This window comes from Homo sapiens, chromosome 2 (assembly GCF_000001405.40).
Source record: "Homo sapiens chromosome 2, GRCh38.p14 Primary Assembly".
In the NCBI taxonomy this organism is placed as follows: domain Eukaryota; kingdom Metazoa; phylum Chordata; class Mammalia; order Primates; family Hominidae; genus Homo; species Homo sapiens.
In genome coordinates this window covers 152,936,981-152,963,855 of record NC_000002.12, presented here as the reverse complement: position 1 = coordinate 152,963,855, position 26,875 = coordinate 152,936,981, and the positions used below count along the sequence as shown (strand labels likewise).

Here is a 26,875-nt window from a genome sequence, read left to right as displayed (position 1 = left end):
GAAAACACGACTGCTGGGGCAACTCAGGATACTTCCCAAAGTCCTTTCCAGTCTTTAACCAGGGCTACCTTAGCAGGGACCTTAACCACTTGGGAAAGTGAAAACAAGCTATCCCATATGTTCACCATAAGAAACAATTTTTGTCTGAAAAACAAGGAGTCTTTTTCCTGTGCAGGATCAGTTTCTACTTATGCTTACCAGCCAATTAACCTGGAACCTGTACACTTGTTTATTTAGCCTCCAAAATTAATATAGCTCCCAACAACCAATCCCTCATTATGCCTTTAACCTCAACTACCAGACACAAATGTGCCATCCAACTCATACTCCGTTTGGTAGAGCTAGGAATAACAGTGGGATTAGGAACTAGAGTTAGCAGACTTGCAACTTCCTTATCCTATTGCCAACATTTGTCCAAGGATTTTATGGAAAGCTTGAATGACACGGCCCAAAGTACTGTCACCATACAAAATAAAATAGACTCCTTAGCAGCAGTCACTTTGCAAAATAGAAGTGAACCAGATCTTCTGGCTGCTGAAAAGGGGTGCCTATGTCTTTTTCTAGAGTAAAAATGCTGTTTTTAGGTCAACCAATTAGGATTAGTAGAGATGCTGCCCAAAAACTAGCCGATTGGGACTCTAAGATACAACAGCTGTCTGAGTCATGGGCTCCTGATCAAAAGTGCTAAGTTGGGTTCATAGCTCCTTCCTCTGGCCAGCCAATTATTAATAATTATACATGCCTCGGTCTTTGGACCATGTTTGTTAAATCTTTTAATCAAATTTATTTTCTCTCGCCTAGAGACCATCAAGCTTCAGATGATCATGTGACAAGGTTTCCAGCCAGTTCCTGGTGAAGGCACCATCACAGCCATCAAGAAGCTACCCTGTCTCCACTAGACAGAACAGGGAAAGAATTCCATGATCCCCAGTAGGTAGGGACTGCACTTCAAGTCAGCATGAAGCAGTTACAGAAGAAAAACATCAGTCCCTCTGCCTCCCATAAAGATTTATGGGGATCACATTTCTCACGGGGAAATGAGGCAGGAGAATAGGGTCTGGAGGCAAGGAACCTAAGGCTGATTCATGCTGACTTCCTAGAACTGAATCAAAAGAAAAACCGCACTTCTCCACACCCAACTCACAAAAGGATCAGAGGCTACACCCTTTGCAACAATCCCCTTTCCACTGTGTCACAGAGGAAAAATGTCAAGTACATCTGACTGGTCCCCTCCCACAACCAATCAGACTGGTCACAGGCCAAGTCTTCATTTGCATAGGGTGTAACTTTGTAACTTCACTTCAGCCTCTGATTGGTTGCCTCCCACCTCTGGAGCAAATAATACAAAAAAGAGAATGGCTAGAATCATTTGAGGTGGCACCTGTCATCAGCACAAAGTCCAGTGCTGGTCTCCAGCAGGGCTGACTTCTTTTTAGTGTTTAATTAATTAAAAATTAGGCCAGGCACAGTGGCTCACTTCTGCAATACCAACACTTTGGGAGGCCTAGGTGGGCAGATCACCTGAGGTCAGGAGTTCAAGGCCAGCCTGGCCAACATGGTGAAATCCTGTCTCTACTAAAAAAAAAAAAAAAAAAAAAAAAAAAATTAGCTGGGCATGGTGGCACACACCTGTAGTCCCAGCTACTGAGGCAGGAGAATCGCTTGATCCCAGGAGGCGAAGGTTACAGTGAGCCGAGATTGCACCACTGCATTCCAGCCTAGACGAGACAGCAAGCCTCTGTCTCAAAAAAAACAAAAATTAATTAATTAAAATTTCTTAATTTTAATTTCTATTTCTTACAATCAATACTCTAACTGTTCCACTCACAATTAGGAGAAGCCAATGTTTTTTGGTTTTAGTGTACAGTTATCAGATTAACTAAAGAGTGTATGTACTAAATGAAGATTAAAAATACAAACAATAAAGCTGTAAAACCCTCATATATCTTACCTCTTTTCTCATATACTTCTCTTTTCTTGGGATCATAAAAAGAGAATACATATAATTTTTCTTATACCTAATGGATGCCTGGTACAAAGCCAAAATAGCAGAGATCCTTCTTCTGACCAATTTAAATTGGGTGACATGTAAATGAGGTTATATGTTTCCAAATTAGATTTCCTGAAATTTGTTTTATTATCATTAATCTTTGGCTTAGAACACGAGTAGTTGGTTCCAGAATTCACATAATGAAGCTAGGTGAAAATGACTATATGGATACACTCCTCATACTGCTAAGACTCATTCTGTCAAATCCCTTCACGAATCACTCCCCCCGCCATCATGAGTCACTGAAATCTACTGCTATTTTGTGTCTTTTTCCAGGGAAAAAAAAAATCTTTACCAGCTCCTCACAGTTCACACTCTCAAAAGTTCTGCCTCATTATTGTGGGGATATTAAATGCCAAGCTCTTGTTTGAAAATACAGGCTGCTTTCAATAAGGCAGTGAAACTGCAATCGATTCTCTGCCTTCAATGAGATTTAGACACTTTTGCTTCAATAAAGCCTGTTATTAAGACACTTCCTTCTCTAAAGCATTTCCTGACATTTTTTTAAATGAGCCCATTCTCATTTTATAAAACCATCTTGAATCCTGTTACCTTGACAACAAGATAACATATTATGTACTTCCTGAAGACCAAGAACTAAAGGCAGGAGAGTCTAATCTAGCCCTTCTCACCATTTAAGAACTCAAATATGGAAAATTTGTGGCATGATGATAAAACATTTACCAACAGCTTCAAGAAGTGTAAAAATTATTGCCTCATTCACATTTTTCAGATACATGAAAGTATTTTATGCAACAATCAATACATATAGAGTGCTTATATGTTTCAGACAGTGTTATAAATCTATAAAATTAATAATTAAATTTTCCTAGCTCTCTGAGTGATATACCCTTATTACCCCCATTTTAAGGATGAGGAAACTGAAGTATAGAAAGTTTAACTTACTCAAAGTCTCAGGGCAAGTAAATGTCAGAACCTGGTTTCAATTAGTTTTGTTCCTAAGGACCAAACAGAATCTCAAATTGAGTTATTTGTTGTTTGCCTATAACTGAAGATTATTTGTCACTGCACTTGAAATTTAAATCAAATTTAATGTTTGGTGGCAAAAAGTCAAAAATACTTTTTCCACATCACAAAGAGAACTGTCACACCAAAGGCAAGACAAACACTCCCACCTGCGTTACTCAGCCCCAAATACTTTGGTCTTCCTTACCCCATTAGACGTCAAAGAAAGCCAAACGAGAGATGAACAATAGCTAACATTTCTGGAAAGAACCATGTTCTTGAGACCCTTTATACACATTGTTTCTTCTTTTTTTTTTTTTTTTTTGAGGCCAATTCTCGCTCTGTCACCCAGGCTGGAGTGCAATACTGCAATCTCAGCTCACTGCAACCTCCACCTCCCAGGTTCAAGCGATTCTTGTGCCTCAGCCTCCAGAGTAACTGGGATTATAGGTGCGCACCACCACGCCCGGCTAATTTTTGTATTTTTAGTAGAGATAGGGTTTCACCATGTTGGCCAGGCTGGTCTCAAACTCCTGACCTCAAGTGATCCACCTGCCTCGGCCTCCCAAAGTGCTGGGATTACAGACGTGAGCCACTGAGCCCGGCCTACATTGTCTTATTTTAATACTCCTAAAAAGAAAGGCATTTTTATCTCTGCTTAATGATTAGAAACTGAGGCTCCTAAAACCATTCAGAGGCAGAGCTAGGAAACAAATGTAGCCTGGCTCTGTCATACACCGCTACAGTTCTTACCAAACGTGCTACCACTGAAAACTCGAAAGCCTAAACTGAGGTGGGAATGCTCACTGATCCACATAATTACCTCCCTCTAAGTAAAAACACCAATTCCTCTACCCTTTGGTTCAGATGCTATGCCTTCAATCTGTTGATGTTTCACTTGAATCAGGCAACAGAGTCACATTCCGGAGTCTATTCAATTTCAAAGCTTGTATTGATTTCTGTTTGTTTCCAAAATATCTTCATTTTTAACATCATTAGCATTACATCCTCACAATAGAGTCCCCAAAGTTGAATCTGGAGTTTAAGGAAATAAACTCCTTATTTCCTAGTTTTTGTGGTCTTTAAAACACATTTTAAAATTATTTAACAAAAGAAGTCCTATCAAATTACATTGCCACCATAAGCTTATGAATGTAATATATAATCTCAAGAATTTTATTGTATCTTTACAAAATTCAACATTTTGCAGTTTTTTTAAAAACCACCATTTTAGCAGAAAATAAAGGCATCTAGTTATCATTCTTTCCTTTTTTTTGTTGTTTTGTTTTGTTTTGTTTGTTTGTTTGAGACAGGGTTTCACTCTGGTTATCCAGGCTGGAGAGTAGTGGTGTGATCTCAGCTCACTGCAGCCTCGACCTCCTGGGCTCAAATGATTCTCCCACCTCAGCCTCCCAAGTAGCTGGGATTACAGGCCTATGCCACTATGACCAGCTAATTTTTTGTATTTTCAGTAGATATGGGGTTTTGCCATGTTGGCCAGGCTGGTCTCAAACTCCTGGAATCAAGCAATCCACCCTCCTTGGCCTCCTAGAGTGCTGAGATTACAGGCATGAGCCACCATGCCTGGCCGATTTTTTATTCATTAATATCCATTCTCAACACTCTCAAAGAAGAAAAGAGAAACTACCATTTCAGAAAGATAAAATAATAAAGTAGTTCCTTAATAAGCTAGTAGTTTCTAATAAAACTTCTCCCAATTTCCTATGAAAATATCTACAATACAGAGAACACAGGTGAGAAGTCACAAATGATGTCAAGTTTTCTACACACAATTGGTGGCTAATCCTGTATTGCTTACCCTCAATCACTGCCTCATTGCCAGCGCTGCTGTCTATTAGCTCTGGACCTTGAGCAAGTTACCAGCTTCTGTCTGTCTTAGCTGTCACATCTGTACAAAGGGAACAGAGTAGAAACTATCTCAGAGGTTGTTGTGGGAGCTAAGTTCGCACATGCAGAATTCCTAGAATAGCACCTGGCAAAGAATGTCTAAATACATATGAACTGGCATTAGCTGGCATTATCATTGCCACTGTTTTTCCAGTGTTTCTGAAAGCGCAGAAGGTGTATCACTGCAGATATACAAGATTAGGGGTGATATTCAAAACTATTGTAGGGTATACTTGTAGGTGTCATTAAATGGCACAAATCACATATAATAAGAAAATTATACCTTCCTTTTTGAATTTTCATTTAGTACTCTGATTACGGCAAGATTAAAGTTTCAATTTGATGCCACAAATGTATTTATCATCTATCCAACAACTGAAAATCTCCTTCATTACCTAAGAGAGTAGATCTCAGACTGCAGGGAGTAGTATTCCCCCAAAATTTAATAACAAGTTGATTTGTTTTAAGCAATTTGCTTTCTTAAATATTTTCTATTCCTATCATGTTTTACTAATTTTTCTTTTAGGATAACGTAAAGCTTCTTTTATAAAATATTCTTAACCAAAAAAATGAAGGCTCTATTTAAAGAAAATATGAAATGGGCAGTAAGCAGATGTGGCAAAAATCAAGAAATATACTAAAAGATTTAGTTTGGGAAAGACTCTAATACTGTACTGATACTCCTAACTAGACATCAGCAAACTTTTTTCTGTTAGACAGATAGTTAATATTTTAGGTTTGCAGAACATATAGTCTCTGTCCCAATGACTCAACTCAGCAATCGATAATATGGAGATGAACATGGCTATGTTCCAATAGAAGCTTTATTTATAAAAATGGGTGATGGGCTGGGCACAGTGGCTCATGCCTGTAATCCTAGCACTTTGGGAGGGCTAGGTCAGCAGATCACCTGAGGTTAGGGGTTCAAGACCAGCCTGACCAATGCAGTGAAACCCCATCTCTACTAAAAATACAAAAATTAGCCAGGTGTGGTGGTGCATGCCTGTAATCCCAGCTACTCAGGAGGCTGAGGCAGGAGAATCGCTTGAACCCTAGAGGCAGAGGTTGCAATGAGCCGAGATTGCACCACTGTACTCCAGCCTGGGCGACAGAGTGAGATTCTGCTTCCAAAAAAAAAAAAAAACAATTGGTGGTGGCTGCTGCATTGGGCCCACAGGCCATAGTGTGCCGATAGTGCTCTAAACTATGAGATATTAGGATCCTGGAATAAATGTTTGATTATAGTCAAAGTATTCTTTCCAAGGTCTCACTGCTGAAACAGAAAATATAATAAAATAGTTCATTTGAGATTGGGAGGTTTTTTTGAATAATGACTCTCTATTAATCTTTCAAAAGGCTGTGGCAGGGATGTCAGATAAAAAACAGCTTCCAAGTTTTAAGAAGAGAGAGAATGGATGAACAGCACCTAAACATCTTTTGCTAATTCATATGAAAAATACATGTATAACACCAGATCTAGGCACTGTCCTAGCAGTTTACATGTGTTAAAACTCACTTATTCCACATAAAAATTCTTTGAGGTTGGTAGCAGTATATTCCCATCTACAGATAAGGAAAATGAGGCATACAAAACATCTTGGAGAGGCGAATACTGTGGGACAGTATTTGAACGCAGACAGTAGGCTAAGAGTCCATGTTCTCACTCTGCTGATGATGCTGCCCTCAGCATCATGCACAGTGGTTGGTTGTGTTTTCCTGCAAGCTTTAGCTCAGCTTAAAATCTGCTTGATACGGCAGGAATTTTTTGCCTTGAGAGAAACTCAAGGTTTTGAACAAGGAAGAACATTCCTTGAGCAGGAAATGAGAGCAACTGAGAGCAATTTCACATAATGAGTTATCACAACTTTGTGAGCCTGCAGTAACTAGCTTTGTGGTAAGTTCTGACATCCATAGCCTCATATAGGTAGGGCCGAGGAGAACCTGCCAAGCTGTTTTCAGTGGTTACACAAACACAGAAGCATGGTGGAGGCTTCATTTTAAGTACTCGCTAGGCAAGAAGGACACCCTATTTCAGTTAAATTAAATATTGATTTAAAAACTTAAAATATTCTTCTCTTCCAAGTTCTGATAGTTATTTTTTTAAGCTAGCTATAAACTGATCTTAATGTTACATATCAACATGGATGGTGCTCATCTTCCCAAATTTTATTTTTATAGTTATGTTTTTGTGAAAACACAATTTCAGAGTGTGTGAAATATATTTCTGATGGCTTTCATACATGTCCCATTGGGACATAAGCCTGAAAGAGAACAATACCTAGCAGTGATTATGGAAATCAAAAATGAAGGTTTACAGCCTAAAACAATCAACATGAAGAAAGGCATGCCTTCTAAGTCTTCCCTACTCCAGCTATGGCAAATATTACACAGATGACAACAATGAAAGTACAAAAACCGCTTCCAAAGCTATTGTTATGAATTATTCCAAAAAATGAAAATATACTTTCATTTAGAAATAAATGTAAAACTTCTGTATCTTTTTGAAATTTAGAATAAAGAAAATGGTATCATTAAGCAACAAAACTGGGGTTTGAAGAAGTTTTCCTGTTGGTTTGCTTGTTTGATTTCAGCAATCATGTGAATAATGAAGAAAATAGAAGATATTTGGGGATATTAACTCATCACCCATTAATCACTGTACAATTGTGCCAGGAGCAGGGGTCGAAGAAGCATCTGGACGTGTTCTAAGAGCAGCAAGAAGGATACTAACAGTCTTGGTCCTTAACATCCTTCACATTCTGCTTTCTGATGCCCCTTTTTAATTATTACTCATCTTCCTTCTCCAGTGTTCTCACTCTCCTTCTCCACACTCTCAGAACTTCCTTCCTTCCACAGGAATGAATGCAACTGCCTTTCCTGGGACTTTTACAAGAGAGCAAAGGGAAGAGATATTAGGAATTTCCATGCATTGCCACATCTTTCTCCTCCTTATCTATTCACAAGGTTGGCCCTGTTACTGTAGCTGCTCTCTGTTATCCTCTAGAAAGATGAAACTTTAGAAAACAAAGGACAACTACTCATGAGAATTAAGGAATAACATAGCTTTTAAAATTGGCTTTTTTATAATCACCTTTTTTCAAAAATAATTTAAGGAAGTTTTCAGAGACATATTCCAATTAACATTATTAAAACAAGTAGGTGAAGTTTCAGGGCAACAGATTAAATGTAAGTAGGAAAAAAAAAAGATAAAACTGGATTGAGCTCATATACTCATGAAACACACCCCTGAAATTTCCTCTTCTTATATATGGGCCACAAATTCAGTTTTATAGAGGTCAGTTCAAAAAGGAAAGAACAATTTGTTATATTACTCATGGTAGGCATAAAAAGAAATTATAACAGCTTCTCAGAAGAAGCCCAAGTATTCCTGGAGACCACAGATAGAAGACAATGTTCTCAATAACATTATTACAGGAAGCACAGTAAAAAGTTTTGCAATACATATCACATACTACCCTCCAAATCAAAATTTATAATAAGCTATTCTATTCTACAAAAAAGTTCATAAGGAAGGCATCAAAATACAGGGATTCAAATCAAGAAACAGGCCAAAAAATGTGGCAATTACATAGGGGCTAGTGGCTAGAAACATTCCAGTTCTCTCTTTTTTTTTTTTTTTTTTTTTGAGTCAGAGTCTTAACTCTGTCACCCAGGCTGGAGTGCAGTGGTGTCATCTTGGCTCACTGCAACTTCTGCTTCCCAGAGTTCAAGCAATTCTTGTTCCTCAGCCTCCTGAGTAGCTAGGATTACAAGCATGCACCACCACACCCAGCTAATTTTTTTTTCTTTTTTTTTTTTTTTTTTAGTAGAGATAGGGTTTCGTCATGTTGGCCAGGCTGGTCTCGAACTCCTGACCTCAAGTTATCCACTCACCTTGGGCTCCCAAAGCCCTGGGATTACAGGCATGAGCCACTGCACCTGGCCCCCAGTTCTCTTAATCTTAAAAAAATATTTCTCATACCACCAAAAATTAGATTCACCTAAACTTGGAGGATGCACATGTTAGCCAAGTCTCTGATATAGATCTGATATAGGTCCCAAATCCATGACCATCGACCATTTACCTATTGTCCTGCAGATTTCCAATGCATATCTTCTGCACTGAGAAGGGAAATGAACCCTTCACTCATCACTGGGGCCGAGGCCCCAGAGCCCTACGTGTTCTTCTATCCAGTGAGCCAGGCTGACCACCTATGAGCCACACATGAAAGTGGTGAATACCAAAAGTCCGCTGGCTTTCGAAATTGATTTCTTCTAATCATCCATATTTTATCCCTTAACAAATGTGAAAGCAGAGTGTCACCAAGGTTCAATCTGTATCATTTATTACTCCTTCAAATTAGCCTTTGTAAATATCAGACGCTACACCACAGCACTAAAAATGAACCACTGCTACGAACAAGAACGGAGCCCGGTTAAACACAGCAGCAGAGTTTGCTCAGATAAAAAACAAACCCCAACTAAGAGAAGGATTCGAGCATTGGAGTCATAATAAGGTAACTCAGGTTGAGTAGACAGCCTCATTATAACCTCCTGGAATTCTGCCATTTGTAACAATAGTGACAAAAATTCCCTTTCAGTATGATATATCTTAGCCAAGTGCTTAACCCAAGGAGATTGTACATTAGTAAATTTTATTTGGCTATTTATACAATACTTAAAGGTAAATAATGCTCCCTCTCACACTTGTATGCACATGTGCCCCCCCAACCCACACACACACATACACTGCCAAGTATGTTTTAGGGTGATAATGGAGAGTGTGAGAGCATTCTGCATGTCAAGGTTGCTCTGTAAACATTTACAACAAAATTTACAACACTTGCCAACTCCCAGACAAGTGCCTTTAACGTGTACTAAAGAAGTTGGTAAAAATTAATGAAAGAAAAAACTATGGGAAAGCAAGTTGGGTCTAGCTCTGTGTCCCCACCCAAATCTTATCTTAAATTGTAATCTGAATTGCAATCCCCATGTTGGGGGAGGGAGGAGATTAGATCATGAGGCCAGTTCCCCCATGCTATTCTCGTGATAGTAAGTTCGCCCAAGATCTGACAGTTTTATAAGGGTCTTTTCCCCCTTTCACTCTGCACTTCTCTCTCCTGCCACCCTGTGAAGAGATGCCTTTCGCGATGATTTCCTGAGGCGCCCCCCAGCCTTGTGGAACTGTGAATCAAGTAAACCTCTTTTCTTTATAAATTACACAGTCTCAGGTATTTCTTCATAGTATCATGAGAATGGACTAATACACAGTTTAATAAAAAACTCAATATGTGATGATATGATTAAATACTGAATGTGGTGAGTACCATAGTTTAGACACAAAAATAAACATATTAAATGCATTCATCAACTTTATCTCAGATTCATTCTACTTTTCAATCTATAGCATACTCTAACAGGCCAGAACACATAAGGATTATGGAAAAAACCCAAACATGTTTATAATTCTGCCTACAACTCCAATTTCTGGGGCTTTCTTGCAGGGATTTGTCTCTGAGAGAGCAAGGTCTTTCTCAGCTTCTTTCAGTTTTATTCTAGTTTGATTGAGCTTAGGTGATTCTTTTTTTCACCTTCTTCAGAGTTTTGTTAATTAGTACTGAGCATTAGCAGACCATACAGATAAGCTGACAAATGACCAAAAACATGTTAATGGAATGCTGCTCAAAATTCCCTTGCTGCCTGTCAGAAATAATTGGTACCTTTCTTCAAGCTTTCCTAGGAAAATGACAAATCAAGAGGAAATGCCTTTAATTTCAAAGGGTCTTATTGGCTCTGGATCATAAAGCATGGCAATTTATTTTACCTTTTTTATTATAAAAAATATAACAATACTTCTGAAGGATTACTGATCGAAGTTATGGAGTTTAATATCTGTCAAAGTACAAATCCCAGGGCGTATTAAAAAAATCTGAGGATACAAAGCTGCTAAATGCCTCGGTCTGGTTCCTTCACAGAAGTCACACTGTCTAAGCAAACCAACACTTTTGATATGAAGATGCAGATACACTCCACGCTGGTTAATGAAACAAATGATAATCTATCATCACGTAGAAGTAAATGTATAGGCTACTTTCTGATTACAATCCAGATAAACAAAGGGAAAAATATACTTTCTGCTCATTTAAAAAGTTATAACATGAAGCTATAACCACCTCTGTTTGTTGTCCAAGATAAAGACAAAAGAAGTTTCCATAAAGCTCAGACAAGACTGAGCAAAACACAGCATGGGGCTGACAAAATCTGGGGGATCTGTTTGTTGATAACAATGAAAACATCACTTTAGAGTTGGAATCAACCAAAAATATATTCTTAACTTTTTAACTATTCTTTCATCTCCCACTTAATGTTATGATACATGTTTGCCATTTCCTTATTAACTATGATATAAAGTACAATTATTACTATACTTTATTACAGGCTGTGCAGATGTAGCCTGCGTGAGGAGTGGGTCTGAGGCAACTGTGATCCACATTTAAGTGAAATCTTCCCTATGCTTTTTTAGATTGTATATGCTTCTTGGAGACCATCAGAACTGTTTCACCATGTCAACCTTTCAACGTCTAATGAGCTACATAAATACAGTAAATTTGAGTTTTAAGAATCATAGCATTAGTACATAAAATGCACATGGAGCCTCATTTCTAAATGTCCATAATTTAATTCAAGAGGTAGGCTGGCATGGTGGCTCACACCTGTAATCTCAGCAATTTCAGATACTGAGGCAGGTGGGTTGCTTGAGGTCAGGAGTTCGAGACCAGCCTGGCCAACATGGTGAAACCCTGTCTCTACTAAAAACACAAAAAATTAGCTGGGCATGGTGGTGGGCCCTGTAATCCCAGTTACTCAGGAGGCTGAGGCAGGAGAATCGCTTGAACCCTGGGAGGCAGAGGTTGCGGTGAGCTGAGACTGCACGGCGCTCCAGCCTGGACAACAAGAGTGAACCTCTGTCTCATAAAAGAAAAGGTAGTTGTGGCTATTTGAGCATAATTATGTATATTTTATGCACAGGAATTATTTAAGCCATCTCAGTTTGGAAATTGAAAGTTACCTACTATTGTATGTAATGCCTCTATCGGCATGGTAAGGTTTTTGTTTTAAAGACATCTAAAATCTTGAGCATATCAGCTTCGTACACTACTGAAGTAACACATCTGATCCTTGTTTTAAATTTCACCAAAGTATGTCTCTGTTTCTTGAGAAAGCTGATGTCCTGCAGTCTATTTATTGCTTTCAGAACCTGGATTTTTCCATCAGGAGAGTGGGATACTTTTCTCTTCTTTTTTTTTTTTTTTTTTTTTGTTTCAGTAGATAAAGGGGGACTCCAAATGAGCAGTTACTACATGCAATTTTTGTTACAATATCTGATCTTGTCCACTCTTAATGAAATTTCATACATTTGGGGTTTTCTTAACTCATCTTCATATATATATATAGTAATTTCTGAACATTTGTTAGAATTCATCCAACTTTGCATGTAAACAATTAATAAAAAGGCTCTAACAGAATTTTAGCTGTGTGGTGGGGTATAAACCTTACTTTAAAGGAATCCAGTAAATAGATACTCAAGCTTTTAAAAGTAGATTACTTAGAGAATGATTATTCGAAGACTCACTGAAACTTTTTTCCAATGTTTCTTTCAGTAGCAAATTCTCTAAGGGCTTTGAAATCAGTGATTCAGCCAGCATGCATTGATTTCCTACCTTGTGCCAACTATTCTAATGAGCATGGGGTTAAAAAAGATGAGAAAGTCCCAGGATCTTCTCTCCTGAAGCTCAAGTTTAGTGGTTGAACAAACCCATAAACAAATAATAACAGTTGACACATTTAGACTCTATTTTGTCTCCAAAAGAACCTGAGTCACCAAATTAAAATTATTATAGAGTAACCACAACATTAGAAGTATAAACAAATCCCAGAAAGTAGCAAATATAATTCAATTTATACTCAGATGTACTAGAATTGGTGATGAATAAGAGTAGAATCCCTATACAGAACCCATAGATTGGAATTGCAGAATGTCAAATCATAACTTTGAATACATTTATATAACTAAATTATATAAATAAGCAAATATCTATCAATCAATAGTTGGCAGATAAGTTGTTTATGCTACTTTGTCATGTCTATTGCCAATCTGAAAGGTTGCTGCTTTATAGATGGCCACACAAATACCTATTTGAAGCAGCACTTCAAGTGGAAGGGGGTTGGGGGAGCCCAGAAAAAAAGTAATAAATTTGCCTGTGTCTTCTCTTTGTTTCCTCATCTAATCTAATTTTTGGTGATTAAAATCCTTTGAGAAATATTAGACTTCTAAATGAATAGCTAAATAAAGCATCGGCCCTGTAAAGATTTGCTGAAATCATTACACTGTAGTTTTAAAACATTAGACCCATGATTCAATCTATATGTAGGACTGAAAAACAAACTTGTTTTATGTTCCACCTACAGTTTCTAGAAAGTTGCAAGCTACTGTTACAGGCATGATTTATATAGGAACTTTAGTGGACATGGGTTTATGTTTGGCTAGAATCAGAATCTCTTTGGGAAAAGCAACGCTGCTGTCCTTGGTCCTGATACCCCTAGGTATGGGCATATAATTCAGGCCTGGCCACAGGAATTGAGTCAGGAATGAATTGAGTCAGGAATGACCACGTAATCCAAGTCAGTCCAATTAAGGTCATTGGCAAGGCCTTGGCTGAGCTACAAGGAAAGAGATGATAGCTTTAAGAATAATGTATGTCTAGAGATGCTGGTGGCCAGCCTCACCTCTACATTTGAAGACCCTACCTATGAATGAAGCTGGCTCAAAGAAAAGCAGACTCAGGAGACAGAACAAAAGACTCAGATCCTTCATGATGTTAGTTATACTTCTATATACAGCATGCTTGATGCCAGATTCTCCTCTTGAATTTCTTGGTCAACTAAGTCTTGATTAACTAGTTTACATGTATAGTGACTACTCCATATCCATGGGTTTTGCATCCTTGGGTTCCACCAACTATGGATCAAAAATAGTTGAAAAAAAAAGGAATGGTTTCATCTGTACTGAACATGTACAGATTTTTTTGTCCTGTCATTCCCTAACCAATACAACAACTATTTACATAGCATTTGCATTGTATTAGGCATTATAAGTAACCTAGAAACTATTTAAAATATAAAGGAAGATTTGCATGGGTTATATGCAAACACTACACCATTTTATATGAGGGACTCGAGCATCCATGAATTTCAGTACCAGTGTGGAGTCCTAGAATCAATCCCCCATGGATACTGAAGGACGAATGTATATATTGTGTACACATACAAAGTGTGTGTATGTGTGTGTGTGTGTGTATTTTGACTTGGATTTTGGCATCTACAACCCAGAGTTCTGATTAACACAGTGCTCAACAAATATGAGTTCCCTCCCCCTCTCTTCCTTCCCCCCTAATTTCTTCATGTCTGACTTAGAAGACTGCCAAAATTGGTACATTAGACTATATAGACTTTTTAACTGTAGACTATTAGATTATACAACAAATGAATTTATGTGAGAGAGAAAATTGCTTAAAAGGAAGAATAAATATTATTGCATCTGAACATCATTTTTTAAAATTACTAATTTTATGTCTGATTTGTCATTTCGAGGTAGAAAAATCCCAATTTCTCTTTGACTAAAAGATAAAGTGACATGAATTTTAAAAAAAGAACTCATTGTGGCACAAGAAGACAGAAGAATACAAGCTTCACAAGCCTAATTCTAGAAACTCCCAGGAATATTCAAGAGAGCATACACTATAGCAGGGGTCCCCAACCTCCAGGTCACGGACTGGTACTGGTCTGTGGCCTGTTAGGAACCAGGCTGCACAGCAGGAGGTGAGCTGCAGGGGAATGAGCATTACTGCCTGAGCTCCATCTGCCTCCTGTCAAATCAGCAGTGGCATTAGATTCTCATAGGAATACAAACCCTATTGTGAACTGTGCATGCGAGGGATCCAGGTTGCACGCTCCTTATGAGAATCTAACTAATGCCTGATGATCTGAGGTGGAACAGTTTCATCCTGAAACCATCCCCCACCAGCCAGTCTATGGAAAAATTGTCTTCCACACAACCGGTCCCTGGTGCCAAAAAGATCGGGAGCTGCTGCACTTCAGTATATGTCAGTATTTAATGAAAGCTCTTACCTTACTGAAAGACCTAATTCCAAGAAGATTTATCCATTTTTTTAATCCCTCTGTAGTTTGAAAAGTAAACGTGTGATATCTCACTCTATTCTTCAGAATAAATAAATAAATAAATACCTTAATGCCGTTTTCTTGCTAAACTTAATAGTGGATTAGCTAGACCATGTACAAAATAAGAGACGTCAGAGGGAAGAAAACTGGAATGGTCTTAGTTCTCACAGAATATTCTAAGGAGAAAATACAAAATTGTTTGTTTTTCTATTGATGTTTCCCCAGTGAAAAGCAATGGGTAAAAATTAGGGAACAGGTTATGTTGATGAAAGCCTGCACCCTCATGTCATCAACACTTTAGAGGAAATTAAAAGAAAAAGCACCTCTTTATTTTTGGCCCAGGTGGGCTTTGAGGAGTACTATGTAAAATAAAGCAAATTACTCAAACCCCAAATTACTTTTCAAACCCCTCTCCTTTCCATGACGTCCCTCTTGAAAAGGAATTGTGTGCTTTTCCAAGAGCATGCAACATATATTTGTTTGTATCTAATCAAGTCATTTATCTTCACTTAGTTTTATAACTCCTGTAGGTGCAGTCAACATATCTTATAAACCTACTCACAGTGAAAGCAGAAGAATGCCTATGCAGTCCTAGGATTTGGCACAGGCAATCTAAGCTTTAAATTATGGTATTGGTATCCCAATTAAAGCCAAGATGTGCTTCCAAACACCCTTGGACAAGTAAGCAAATACATGTAATGTCACCTCCTTTCTTAGCTAATTCTTATCCTTTATTTATGTCACTTACTCAGTATGTTTTCTACTTTTTCTTCTTTTTTTAATTGCTACATAAACCATCAGAAAAGACCATGCACAGCCAACCTGCTGCCCAAGCGAAATCTCTGTTTAATATTTCAGTGTTTCCAAAAATGATGTGCCACTGGCTTGGCTCTGCCTGTAATATTGTTTTCAATTTCCATCTGCCTTGGGCATCTTCCTCCTGCCACGTATCCATATGAGCCTAACTGCATCACATGCAGTGCTGGATGCTAGAAATGCCCTGATACCAAAACGTGATACAAGGATAATCTGCTTTTTCCCTTATAATTAAATGAGAAAACTGTGGGTATACTGTCTCCTACTTGGCCCCATCACAAATGCATCCAACAGATGCCACCACACATGACCCAAGTTAAGTACAAAGGAATGATGTAAATATGCCCCTTAAAAAAATTTCACCGAGGACTGAAACCCCATGAGGTTGGTTACCTTGTGAAGGAAAGCAGGTGTTCAGGTAAAAGGAAGGGCATAGCAATATCCAAGTTAACCAGCATTTTGTGGCCTCTGTACAAAGCCAAGTTACACACTTGCCTCATGCTTTAACACACCTGTCATCTCCTATTGTGAGCTATCCAGGCTCTGAGTTGGTGACAAATTAGGATTAAACCCACCGACAACTATTCACTCCATGCCCATCAGCGTGTGCTCTGAAAAGCCCTCAGACCCCTTCAGACTCTTTAGCAGCAGCCATTGTTTCCTTCGGTAACTGCTACCTTCCAGCAAACAGCATTCAGAAAGACAGCCCATCTGAGAACACATGCTTTCATCTCTGCACTCCCTTGCTGCTAACAAGCTTCCCTATAATAATCATATAAAATCTAACTATGTACATTGGAAAAAAAGGCATTTTGTTAAAACCAAACCAAGCAGTGCAGATGAGGTCTGCAGCATAAATTAGAGCCACGAGGATACTGTGGATAAATTACTGATGATTCTGGTTACAAAGTGTAATCGTTTGGCTTAAGAGGATTAAGCACAACAAGAAATCTTGAATTTTACAACTTTACCCCCAAATTCAGTCCAAGGTCAGGCTTTTGGTCTTGATTTTACTGATTTATCTTTAATATTATCATCTAACCTCTCTAAAATTATATTTTTTCCTAGAGTTGATCCATATACCAAATAATCATTTAATACTGCATTATTCTCCAGACATTTTATGCTTAGGCTTGGCATGAGATACTGAAAAATGGTCAGAAGATATTGGGCAGCTGCTAACAATTTTTTGATATGTACGTGTTCCCTCTAAAAGAAAGCCTCAAATTTTCAAGTGTGAGTTCACATTTTCAGGCAATTTATGTGGCCTTTAATATCTTGAGTAACAATGTAATTATATAATAATTAGCCAGACCCACCTCTCCTCATAAATTTTGTCTGAATCTATTTTGGGTTGCTATAAAGCAATATCTGTGGTTAGGTAATTTACAAGGAAAAGAGGTATACTTGGGCTCTGCAGGCTGTACAAGGAGTGTACCACTGGCATCTGCTTCTGGGAGGGCCTCAGGAAGCTTCCAATCATAGCAGAAGGCGAAGGGGGAGCAGGCCATCACATGGCAAGAGAGGGAGTGAGGAAGGGAAGGTGTAACAGGCTTTTTTAAACAACCAGCTCTCACCTGAATTAATAAAGCAATAACTCACTCATTAATCCAAGGAGGGCACCAAGCCATTCATAAAGGATCCTCCACCATGACCCAAATACCTCCCACCAGGCCCCACCTCCAAAATTGGGATCACATTTCAACACAAGATTTGCAGGGAACAAATATCTAAAATATATCAAAAGTAAATCTTATTTCTCTAAAAATTTTCTGTCATCTGCTGTGGGTTCCCATGTGGTTCCCCACTTCCTGTCCCCTACTAAATAATCCTAAAGAAAGAAAAAAGAAAGAAGCAAGTCATAACTGTCTTCTACATTTTGGTGCTGTATGGCATTTCCATTTCTCTTTAGTTCCCATTCCCTGCCTTTCTTCAGCCTTTAGCATTTATGTTAATGCCCATCTGGTTTATGGACCTCACAATATGTATTTCCTCTAGGCTTTGATGGCCTCCTTCACAAACCAGCCACAAACACCTCTGAACATCCTCATCATAAAGCCCATCATGAAGCCTATAAAGGCCCACAAGACTGTAAGTTCCATGAGAGCAGAAGCTGTATCTTACTCATTTTTGTACTGCCCACTGCATCTGGCAAAATGACCATCACATAATACACCACTAAGTTTCAAAAAATATTTTTGACTTGAAGGTAATATATCTGAGATCCTTACCTTAGCATTCTCTCCTTCCTGATCACAATCTGGCCATTTGTCTTTCTTCTCCCCTCCAATCACATCAGCACTTGGTTCTTATAAAAACTTTTTTTCTTCATCTTTTTTTTTTTTTTTGGAGACAGAGTCTCACTTTGTCACCCAGGATGGAATGCAGTGGCATGATCTTGGCTCACTGCAACCTCTGCTTCCTGGGTTCAAGTGATTCTCGTGCCTCAGCCTCCTGAGTAGCTGTGGTTATAGGCACGCACCACCACACCCGGCTATTATATTTTTAGCAGAGATATGGTTTCACCATGTTGGCCAGGCCGGTCTCAAGCTCCTGACCTCAAGTGACACACCTACCTCGACCTCCCAAAGTGCTGGGATTACAGGCATGAGCCACTGCACCCAACCTGTATAAAGACCCGTAATCACCAAGTCTTTTACATTTCTTCCAGTCTATCATGATCCCATCTCTACTGGCAATATAATCCCAACGCAGTCCTGGCTGGTATCAAGCCACTTCCCTGCCAGCTCCATCACCACCATCAAAAGCTTCACTCTGTGGCTTATTGGAGAACCCATCACCAAATTAGTTTCCCTTATAGACATACCCTTCCAATCCACTTTCTGTTGCTAGGCTTATTAGGATATATAGAGAAAGGTATGGAAATGGCCCAGTGTAGTCTCATATTGGAGAACATCCAACAGACCTACTTGCTATTCACTATCCATCTCTCATCAACTCTTAGCTTACTCCTAGAAATTTCTCAGGAAGTTTTATTTTTAAGCCCCTAGCTCTTCACACTTCAAACATGTCAGATTTGTTAGTGTTCTACTTCAAGAGGCTGATGTCACATGTAAACTATATAAAATGGATGTTATACATCAATGAAACACATTCCATGCTGTTACAAAGAGAATAAAGGTTTAAATTTCTCACTGTTTATTAATGTGACAATCCAGTGAAACTTATTTTTGGTAAGAAGGGTTTAGTTATGTAATAAACCCATCCTTTGGTATGTGAATTTATTCCCAACAAATAATTGATCTGAGAAGTTGAACAACTTTGTTACTTTCACTAAAAAAAAAAGGTGTTGACGTATACTGTTATCTATCAAGAGGTGAGACCACCATTCAAACTCTGAAACAAAAATAAAAGCTGCAAAGATTAATTTATTGTTCTCCTTAAGAATGGAGAGCATTACTGATTGGGCAAAGTCTCACAGAACTAAGCAAACTGCTGATATTACATAGAATTTTAATAAAGGAGGATTGGAGAGCAGGGACATTGTGTTAGTTACAGAGGCAATCTGTAACTACATCAATCTTAGAAGGTGACTCATGTTGGATAAAGAAACATGCTCATGTTAGTTATAAAAGCAGGAGTTGGTTGACATCACCCTCAGATGCAAGCTCACTGGAATGAACCTATACTGATTGCTTAGGTCTCCAGAAGCATTCTTCGTGATTGTCAGAGTCTACTTAATTTTAATCTGACCCTCCACCCTGCAGTGTTCAGGTTTGGATCATGTTTGAAAATACTGTATCTCGAGTGTTATCTATGTGGCAACAGATCTTGGTCTCTCTGCTTATCAGGATGTGAAACAAAGCAGAGCTCTTGATGATCCTTCTAGCACAATGATGATTCTTTTATATTTCAAATAGTTAATTCAAGAGACGTCCATAAGCCCTTATTTCCATAGTCTTCTATAAGCACAGGAAGGAAGAACAATGGGTTGTATAAGGCTGTATTTAAAAGACACAGGTGAGCAAAAACAAACAGAATTTAATATCTATATATTACCAATTGGAAATGTAACAGAGTTTTCCAAAAAAGCAATGTTATTCACTAACTGTGTGACTGAGTAAATTTCTTAGCTTCTCTGAACCTATAATCTGCACTTTAAAAATGGTAACCTCTTTCATTGTGTATTTTTATTATTAAATGTGATCATTCAGTTTGGCCATTTGTCTCCAATACTTGGCACATGACAAATATTAATAAATATGAGTGGACTGGATGTGAAAACCAGGGATGGCTTCCTCAAGATGATGAATTCAAGGTACCTCTCAAAGTAAACTGCAAAGAGGAGAACAGAGTCCATTCTCGGTAAAAACATGACCAGGGAAATGGAAATGAAAATTTTCAAGAACAGCATTTAATGTATCTGAAAAGTATACACTATTGCCTAATTCTGCATGAGACCATATTAACTTTTGTTTTAATAATAACATGGAAACTGAATTGAAAGAGACCTTGAAAGGACAACCTATCTATTACACTGGCTTCAGACGGGCAGGATCATTTCTAAGCTACTTACATGTTACTTACTTGAGATGACAAAGAGAAGAAAAATTATGGCAATTTTCAAAATATAAAACCCTTTACTTGGTTGCCAAGCCTATCTTTCACTTTAAGGCTGAGATAACATCTTCTCTAAGTGCCTGCTGACTGAATTTACTCTACAAGGGCACCAGTGCATTTATAGACCTGCTTCCTTTCTCTAGAGCTGTCAGTTATCATTAATGTTCCTGACAGTCTGCTTCATCCGCGGCACTTGCTCAGGGAGAAGGTGTTATTCTTGAGTGTCCCATTTATAGGTAGAGAACAATATTCAACATGAAAACTTCAATCAAGCAAATGTCTAGAGAAAGTCTCCTTCTACAAACAACTTTTGTCTATTTTAGCTGATGGAGATGCCAAGTGTTTATTAGAGTGCATACATTGTAAGAAATGCAGGGGTCGATCATGAAAAAAAATGATTAAAGAATCAGTATATATTTTTGCAAATAGCCTCCAATCGCGTGAATTATTAAGACTTCCATACACTTAGTAGTTTTAAAATTTTGTTTTCAAAAGAATTCATATATCAAAAATGAATATGGAAATCCTGCTTATAGCAATAGAATAGTTTTAACAGACCAACACTCTCCCCAAAAGTAACTACAAAAGCTGTATAAAATAGTCTTTAAGGGTTGCCTGAAGAGTTCTGGGGACTTTCGGGAATGGAGGGGCCAAGATCTCTGAGAGGAGAGAAATTCTCTGAGGTGAGCCCAATATTCTGCAGACAGTTTTTCCCCTTGGGGCATTTGCTGAGTCTTAAGTAAGAAGGGAGAGGTTGAAGGCAGAGGCTAAAAAGTTTTGCAGAATGCAAATTCTAAGAATCAAAGGAGCCAACTGAGCTTTCTCATTGAAATAAGAAGAAAAATATTGTACTTTGGGCCCACTAAGGCAGCCAGAAGATCTAGGTTTGCCAAGACCACGGACAGAGAAAAAGCACAGAGAAGTAAGCCCAAACTCGTGGGTTTTCCTCTCGTGGCACTGACCAATTCTTAAATTACACAAGGATAAGAAGCTGAGCAAAAAGCTGCAGGAAATCTCAATAGAGGTCTTCCACTGTCTCATAGTGCTGATGATTAGAGTTCAGGCTAATGATTGGAATGCTAAAATTAGAGTTCGGGACCTGCCAAGTCCTGAAGGCCCTGGTAACTATCCTAGGTTCTCCTGAGGGTTCTTTTGAGTGCTGTCTTCTGAGATGGGAAAAAAACCTGAGATCTAGACTTCAAAAGTCACAAACATAGCCTAGAGTCACCTTGATCCTACCTAGATTAAGGAGCCTGCCCCTCCCCTAAGTGCCTGACAGAGGATAAGGTGAATCGTCTCTGGAGGAAGATAACATCCTACAGAGCCTCTACAATTTTTCATATACGATGTCAGCATTCAATTAAAAAGAATTTCTAGGCATACAAAGAAAAAGAACCAGGAGAAAGGCAGAAAGAAAAATACATTCATAGATGACCCAGTTATCATCTGTATAAATTATGTTTAAGATAATACATGACAAGTTGGAGAATTTTGCCTGAGAATTAAAGTCTATAAAAACAATCAAATTTCAACTGTAGAGCTGAAAAATATAAAAATCGACATTAAGAAGGCAATTATTATTTCAATACAAAATGAATGCAGGTAGAGGAATAGTGAACAAGAAAATAAGTTATTATAAAATACTCAAACCCAAGCACAGGAAAAACAAATGACAGAAAATACAAAAAGAGGGCCGGGCACGGTGGCTCACGCCTGTAATCCCAGCACTTAGGGAGGCCAAGGCAGGCGGATCACGAGGTCAGGTGATCAAGACCATCCTGGCTAACACGGTGAAACCCCATGTCCACTAAAAATACCAAAAATTAGCCGGGCATGGTCACGGGCACCTGTAGTCCCAGCTACTCGGGAGGCTGAGGAAGGAGAATTGCTTGAACCCGGGAGGTGGAGCTTGCAGTGAGCCGAGAAAGCGCCACTGCACTCCAGCCTGGGTGACGGAGCGAGACAAAGGAAGGAAGGAAGGAAGGAAAGAAGGAAGGAAGGAAGGAAGGGAGGGAGGGAGGGAGGAAAGGAAGAAAGGAAGGAGGGAAGGAAGGAAATACAAAAAGAGTTTAAGAGACACGGACATAAGGAAAAAGTCATACATTCATAAAAGTGGCCATCCGGGACAAAAGAGACAAGAGAATCTGGCCAAAGCAACATTTGAAGAAGTATGGTTGAAAATGTTTTAAGACTTGTATAAAAAATTAATCTATAAAGTTCTAAGAAGCCAAAAGAGATTAAACAAAAAAAAAGCACATCTGAGCATATTATGGCCAAAACTCATGAAAAAGGATAATGATAAAGGAAAAAATATTAAAAGTCATCTAAAGGAGATGATTATATTAGCTTCAAAGGAGCTGTCAAACACTAAGTTCTTCACAGAAGTGATACAAGCTAGAAAACAATAGAATAACTGCTGAAAGATTTCTTTTTAATCCACCCTAGAATTATACATCCAGAGAAAATAACATTCCAAGACAAAGATACAATACCTAAATTTTAGCAAATGGCAATGAAGTAAAAGTTTAAGAGAATTTTAATTACAATTTACTCTAAAACAGTTTAAAAGAAAAACAAATGCATTTATCTATGCATCAGAGAGGATGAATATAAGTAAAAATTGGTGAAATGTTAATATTTAGAAAATCTTACTAAAGGATATACAGAAACTTCTTATATTATTATTGCAACTTTTCTGTTAGTCTGAAATTATTTCAAAACCAAAAGGGTTTTTGGGTTTTCTTTTAACTTTTATTTTAGGTTTGGGGGTACCTGTGAAGGCTTGTTACATAGGTAAACACATGTCATGGGGGTTTGTTGTATCTATTATTTCATCACCCAGGTATTAGACCCGGTATCCAACTGTTGTCTTTTCTGTTCCTCTCCCTCCTTCCACTCTCCCTCCTCAAGTAGACCACAGTGTCTGTTGTTTCCTTCTTTGTGTTCAGAAGTACTCATCATTTGGCTCCCAACTTATAAGTGAAAATGTGTGGTATTTGGTTTTCTCTTCCTGCATTAGTCTGCTAGGGATGACAGCCTCCAACTCTATCTATGTTCCTGCAAAAAACATGAACTCATTCTTTTTTATGGCTGCATAATATTCCATAGTGTATATGAACCACATTTTCATTATCCATTCTGTCTTTGATGGGCATTTGGGTTGATTCCGTATCTCTGCTATTGTGAGTAATGCTGCAGTGAACATTCATGTGCAAGTATCTTTATGGTAGAATGCTTTATATTCCTCTGCATATATACTCGGTAGTGGGATCACTAGGTCTAATGGTAGTTCCACTTTTAGCTATTTGAGGAATTGTAATACTGCTTTCCACAATGGTTGAGCTAATTTACACTCCACCAACAGTGTACAAGCATTCCCTTTTCTCCGCAATCTCACCAGCATCTATTGTTTTTTGACTTTTTAGTAATAGCCATTCTGACTGGCATGAGATGGCATCTCATTGTGGTTTTGATTTGCATTTCTCTAATGATTCATTATATTCAGCATATTTTCATATGCTTGTTGGCTGCATGTATGTCTTCTCGCAAAAAAAAAAAAAAAAAAAAAAAATGTGTTCATGTCCTTTGCCCACTTTTTAACGGGGTTGTTTTTTTCTTGTAAATTTATGTTCCTTGTAGATGCTGGATATTAGACCTTTGTCAAATGCATAGGTTGCAAATATTTTCTCCCATTCTGTAGGCTCTCTGTTTACACTGTTGATAGTTTCTTCTGCTGTGCAGAACCTCTAAAGTTTAATTAGATTCCACTTGTCAATTTTGGCTTTTGTTGAGATTGCTTTTAATGCCTTTGTCATAAAATCTTTTCCCGTTCCTATATCCGGATGGTATTGCCTAGGTTGTCTTTCAGGGGTTTGTATAGTTTTGGGTTTTACATTTAAGTCTTTAATCCATCTTGAGTTGATTTTTGTGTATGGTGTAAGGAAGGGATCCAACAGGTTGCAGTGAGCCAAGATCACACCACTGCACTCCAACCTGGTTGATAGAGTGAGACCCCATCTCAAAAAAAAAAAAAAAGAAAGAAAGAAAAAGAAAAAACAGAGAGAAAAGGGAGCATAGAACAGGTAAAACAAATGAAAACCAAATAGTAAAATGGTAGGTTTAAACGTATTACTATGTTATTACAGTGAGTATGTAAGGATTAAATACCATGTACTTTTCATATCAAATTAAAAGTCAAAGATAGAAGGAACATAATAAAAGCTATATATGACAGATCCACAGCTAGTATCATACTGAATGGGGAAAAACTGAAAGCATTTCCTCTAAGATCTGGAACACAACAAGGATGCTGTATTAGTCCATTTTCATACTGCTATGAAGAAATACCCGAGACTGGATAATTTTTTTTAAAAAAAGTAGCTTGATGGACTCAACAGTTCACATGGCTGGGGAGACTTCACAGTCATGGGAGAGGGTGAAGGAGGGCCAAAGGCATGTCTTACATGATGGCAGTCAAGGGCACGAGTGCAGGGAAACTGCCCTTTATAAAACCATCATATCTTGTGAGACTTATTCACTATCACGAGAACAGCACGGGAAAAAGCCACTCCCATGATTCAATTACCTCCCACCAGGTCCCTCCCATGACATGTGGGGATTATGGAAGCTACAATTCAAGATGAGATTTAGGTGGGGACACAGCCAAACCATATCCGATGCCCACTGTCATGACGGTTATTCAACATAACACTGGAAATCTTAGCTAGAGCAATCAGACAAGAGAAAGAAATAGAGGGCATCCAAATTGAAAGGAAGAAGTCAAATTATCCTTGTTTGCTGATGATATGATCTTATATTTGGAAAAACCTAAAGAATACACAAGAAAACTAATAGAACTGATAAACAAATTCAGTAAAGTTGCAGAATACAAAATTAACATACAAAAATCAGTAGCATTCCTATATGCCAACAGTGAACACAACAGGAAAAACAAAAAGTAATCCCATTTACAATAGCCACACAAAAAAATTATATACCTAAGTAATTAACCAAAGAAGTAAAAGATCTCTACCATGAAAACTATAAAACACTGATGAAAGAAATTAAAGAAGACACCAAAAAAATGGAAAAATATTCCATGTTTGTGGATTACAAGAATCAATATTGTTAAAATGTTCATACTACTCAAAGCAATCTACAGATTCAATGCAATCCTCATCAAAATACCAATGACATTCTTCACAGAGATAGAAAAAAAATCCTAAAATGTATAACCACAAAAAAAAAAAAACAGAATAGCCAAAGCTATCCTAGTCAAAAAGAAAAAAACTGGAGGAATTACATGACCAAACTCCAAATTATACTGCAGAGCTATAGTCACCAAAACAGCATGGCACTGGCATAAAAACACATAGACAAATGTAATGAAATAGAGAACCCAGAAACAAATCCACACACCTACAGTGAACTCATTTTTTACAAAGGTGCCAAGAACATATACTGGGGAAAAGATGATCTTTTATATAAATGGTGCTGGGAAAACTGAATATTCATATGCAGAAGAATAAAACTAGACCTATATACAAAAAATCAAATCAAAATGGATTAGATCTAAATCTAAGACCTCAAAGTATGAAACTACTACAATAAAGCATTATGGAAAATCTCCAAGACATAGATCTGGGCAACAATGTCTTCAACTCTATAGGAAAAAAAATCTAATAATCCAATCAAAACTGGGCAAAAGATATGAATGGACATTTCTCAAAAGAAGATCTGCAAATGGAAAACAGGCATATGAAAAGGTGCTGAACATCAATGGTTATCAGCGAAATGTAATTCAAAACTACAATGAAATATCATCTCACCACAGTTGAAATGGGGCTTATATCCAAAAGACAGGCAATAGCAAATGCTAGCGAGGATATGGAGAAAAGAAAACCCTTGTACCCTGTTGGTGGGAATTTAAATCAATACAACCACTATGGAAAACACTTTGGAGGTTTCTCAAAAAGCTAAAAATTGAGCTGTCATATGATCCAGTAATCCTACATCTAGGTATATGCCCAAAAGAAAGGAAATCAGTTTATCAAAGAGATATCCACACTCCTATGTTTGTTGCAGCACTTTTTACAATAGCTAAGATTTGGAAGCAACGTAAGTGTGCATCAACAGATGAGCTGATAAAGAAAATGTGGTACATATACACAATGGAGTACTATTCAGCCATAAAAAAAATGAGACCCAGTCATTTGCAACAACATGGATAGAACTGGAGATCATTAGGTTAAGTGAAACAAGCCAGGCACAGACAGACAAAGATTACATATTCTCACTTGTTTATGGGATCTAAAA

At 37.9% G+C, this 26,875-nt stretch overlaps 1 long non-coding RNA gene across 2 annotated transcripts in view; it reads right to left on the bottom strand.

The window, feature by feature from the left end:
- The window catches only part of LOC105373691 (uncharacterized), a 79,687-nt gene extending 74,788 nt beyond the window's left edge, over positions 1 to 4,899 (bottom strand). For both annotated transcript variants that reach the window (XR_007087268.1, XR_923482.2), the window contains exon 1: positions 4,836 to 4,899. This is a non-coding gene — a long non-coding RNA (uncharacterized LOC105373691). The remainder of the gene's footprint in view (positions 1 to 4,835) is intronic.
- Positions 4,900 to 26,875: the final 21,976 nt, after the last annotated feature.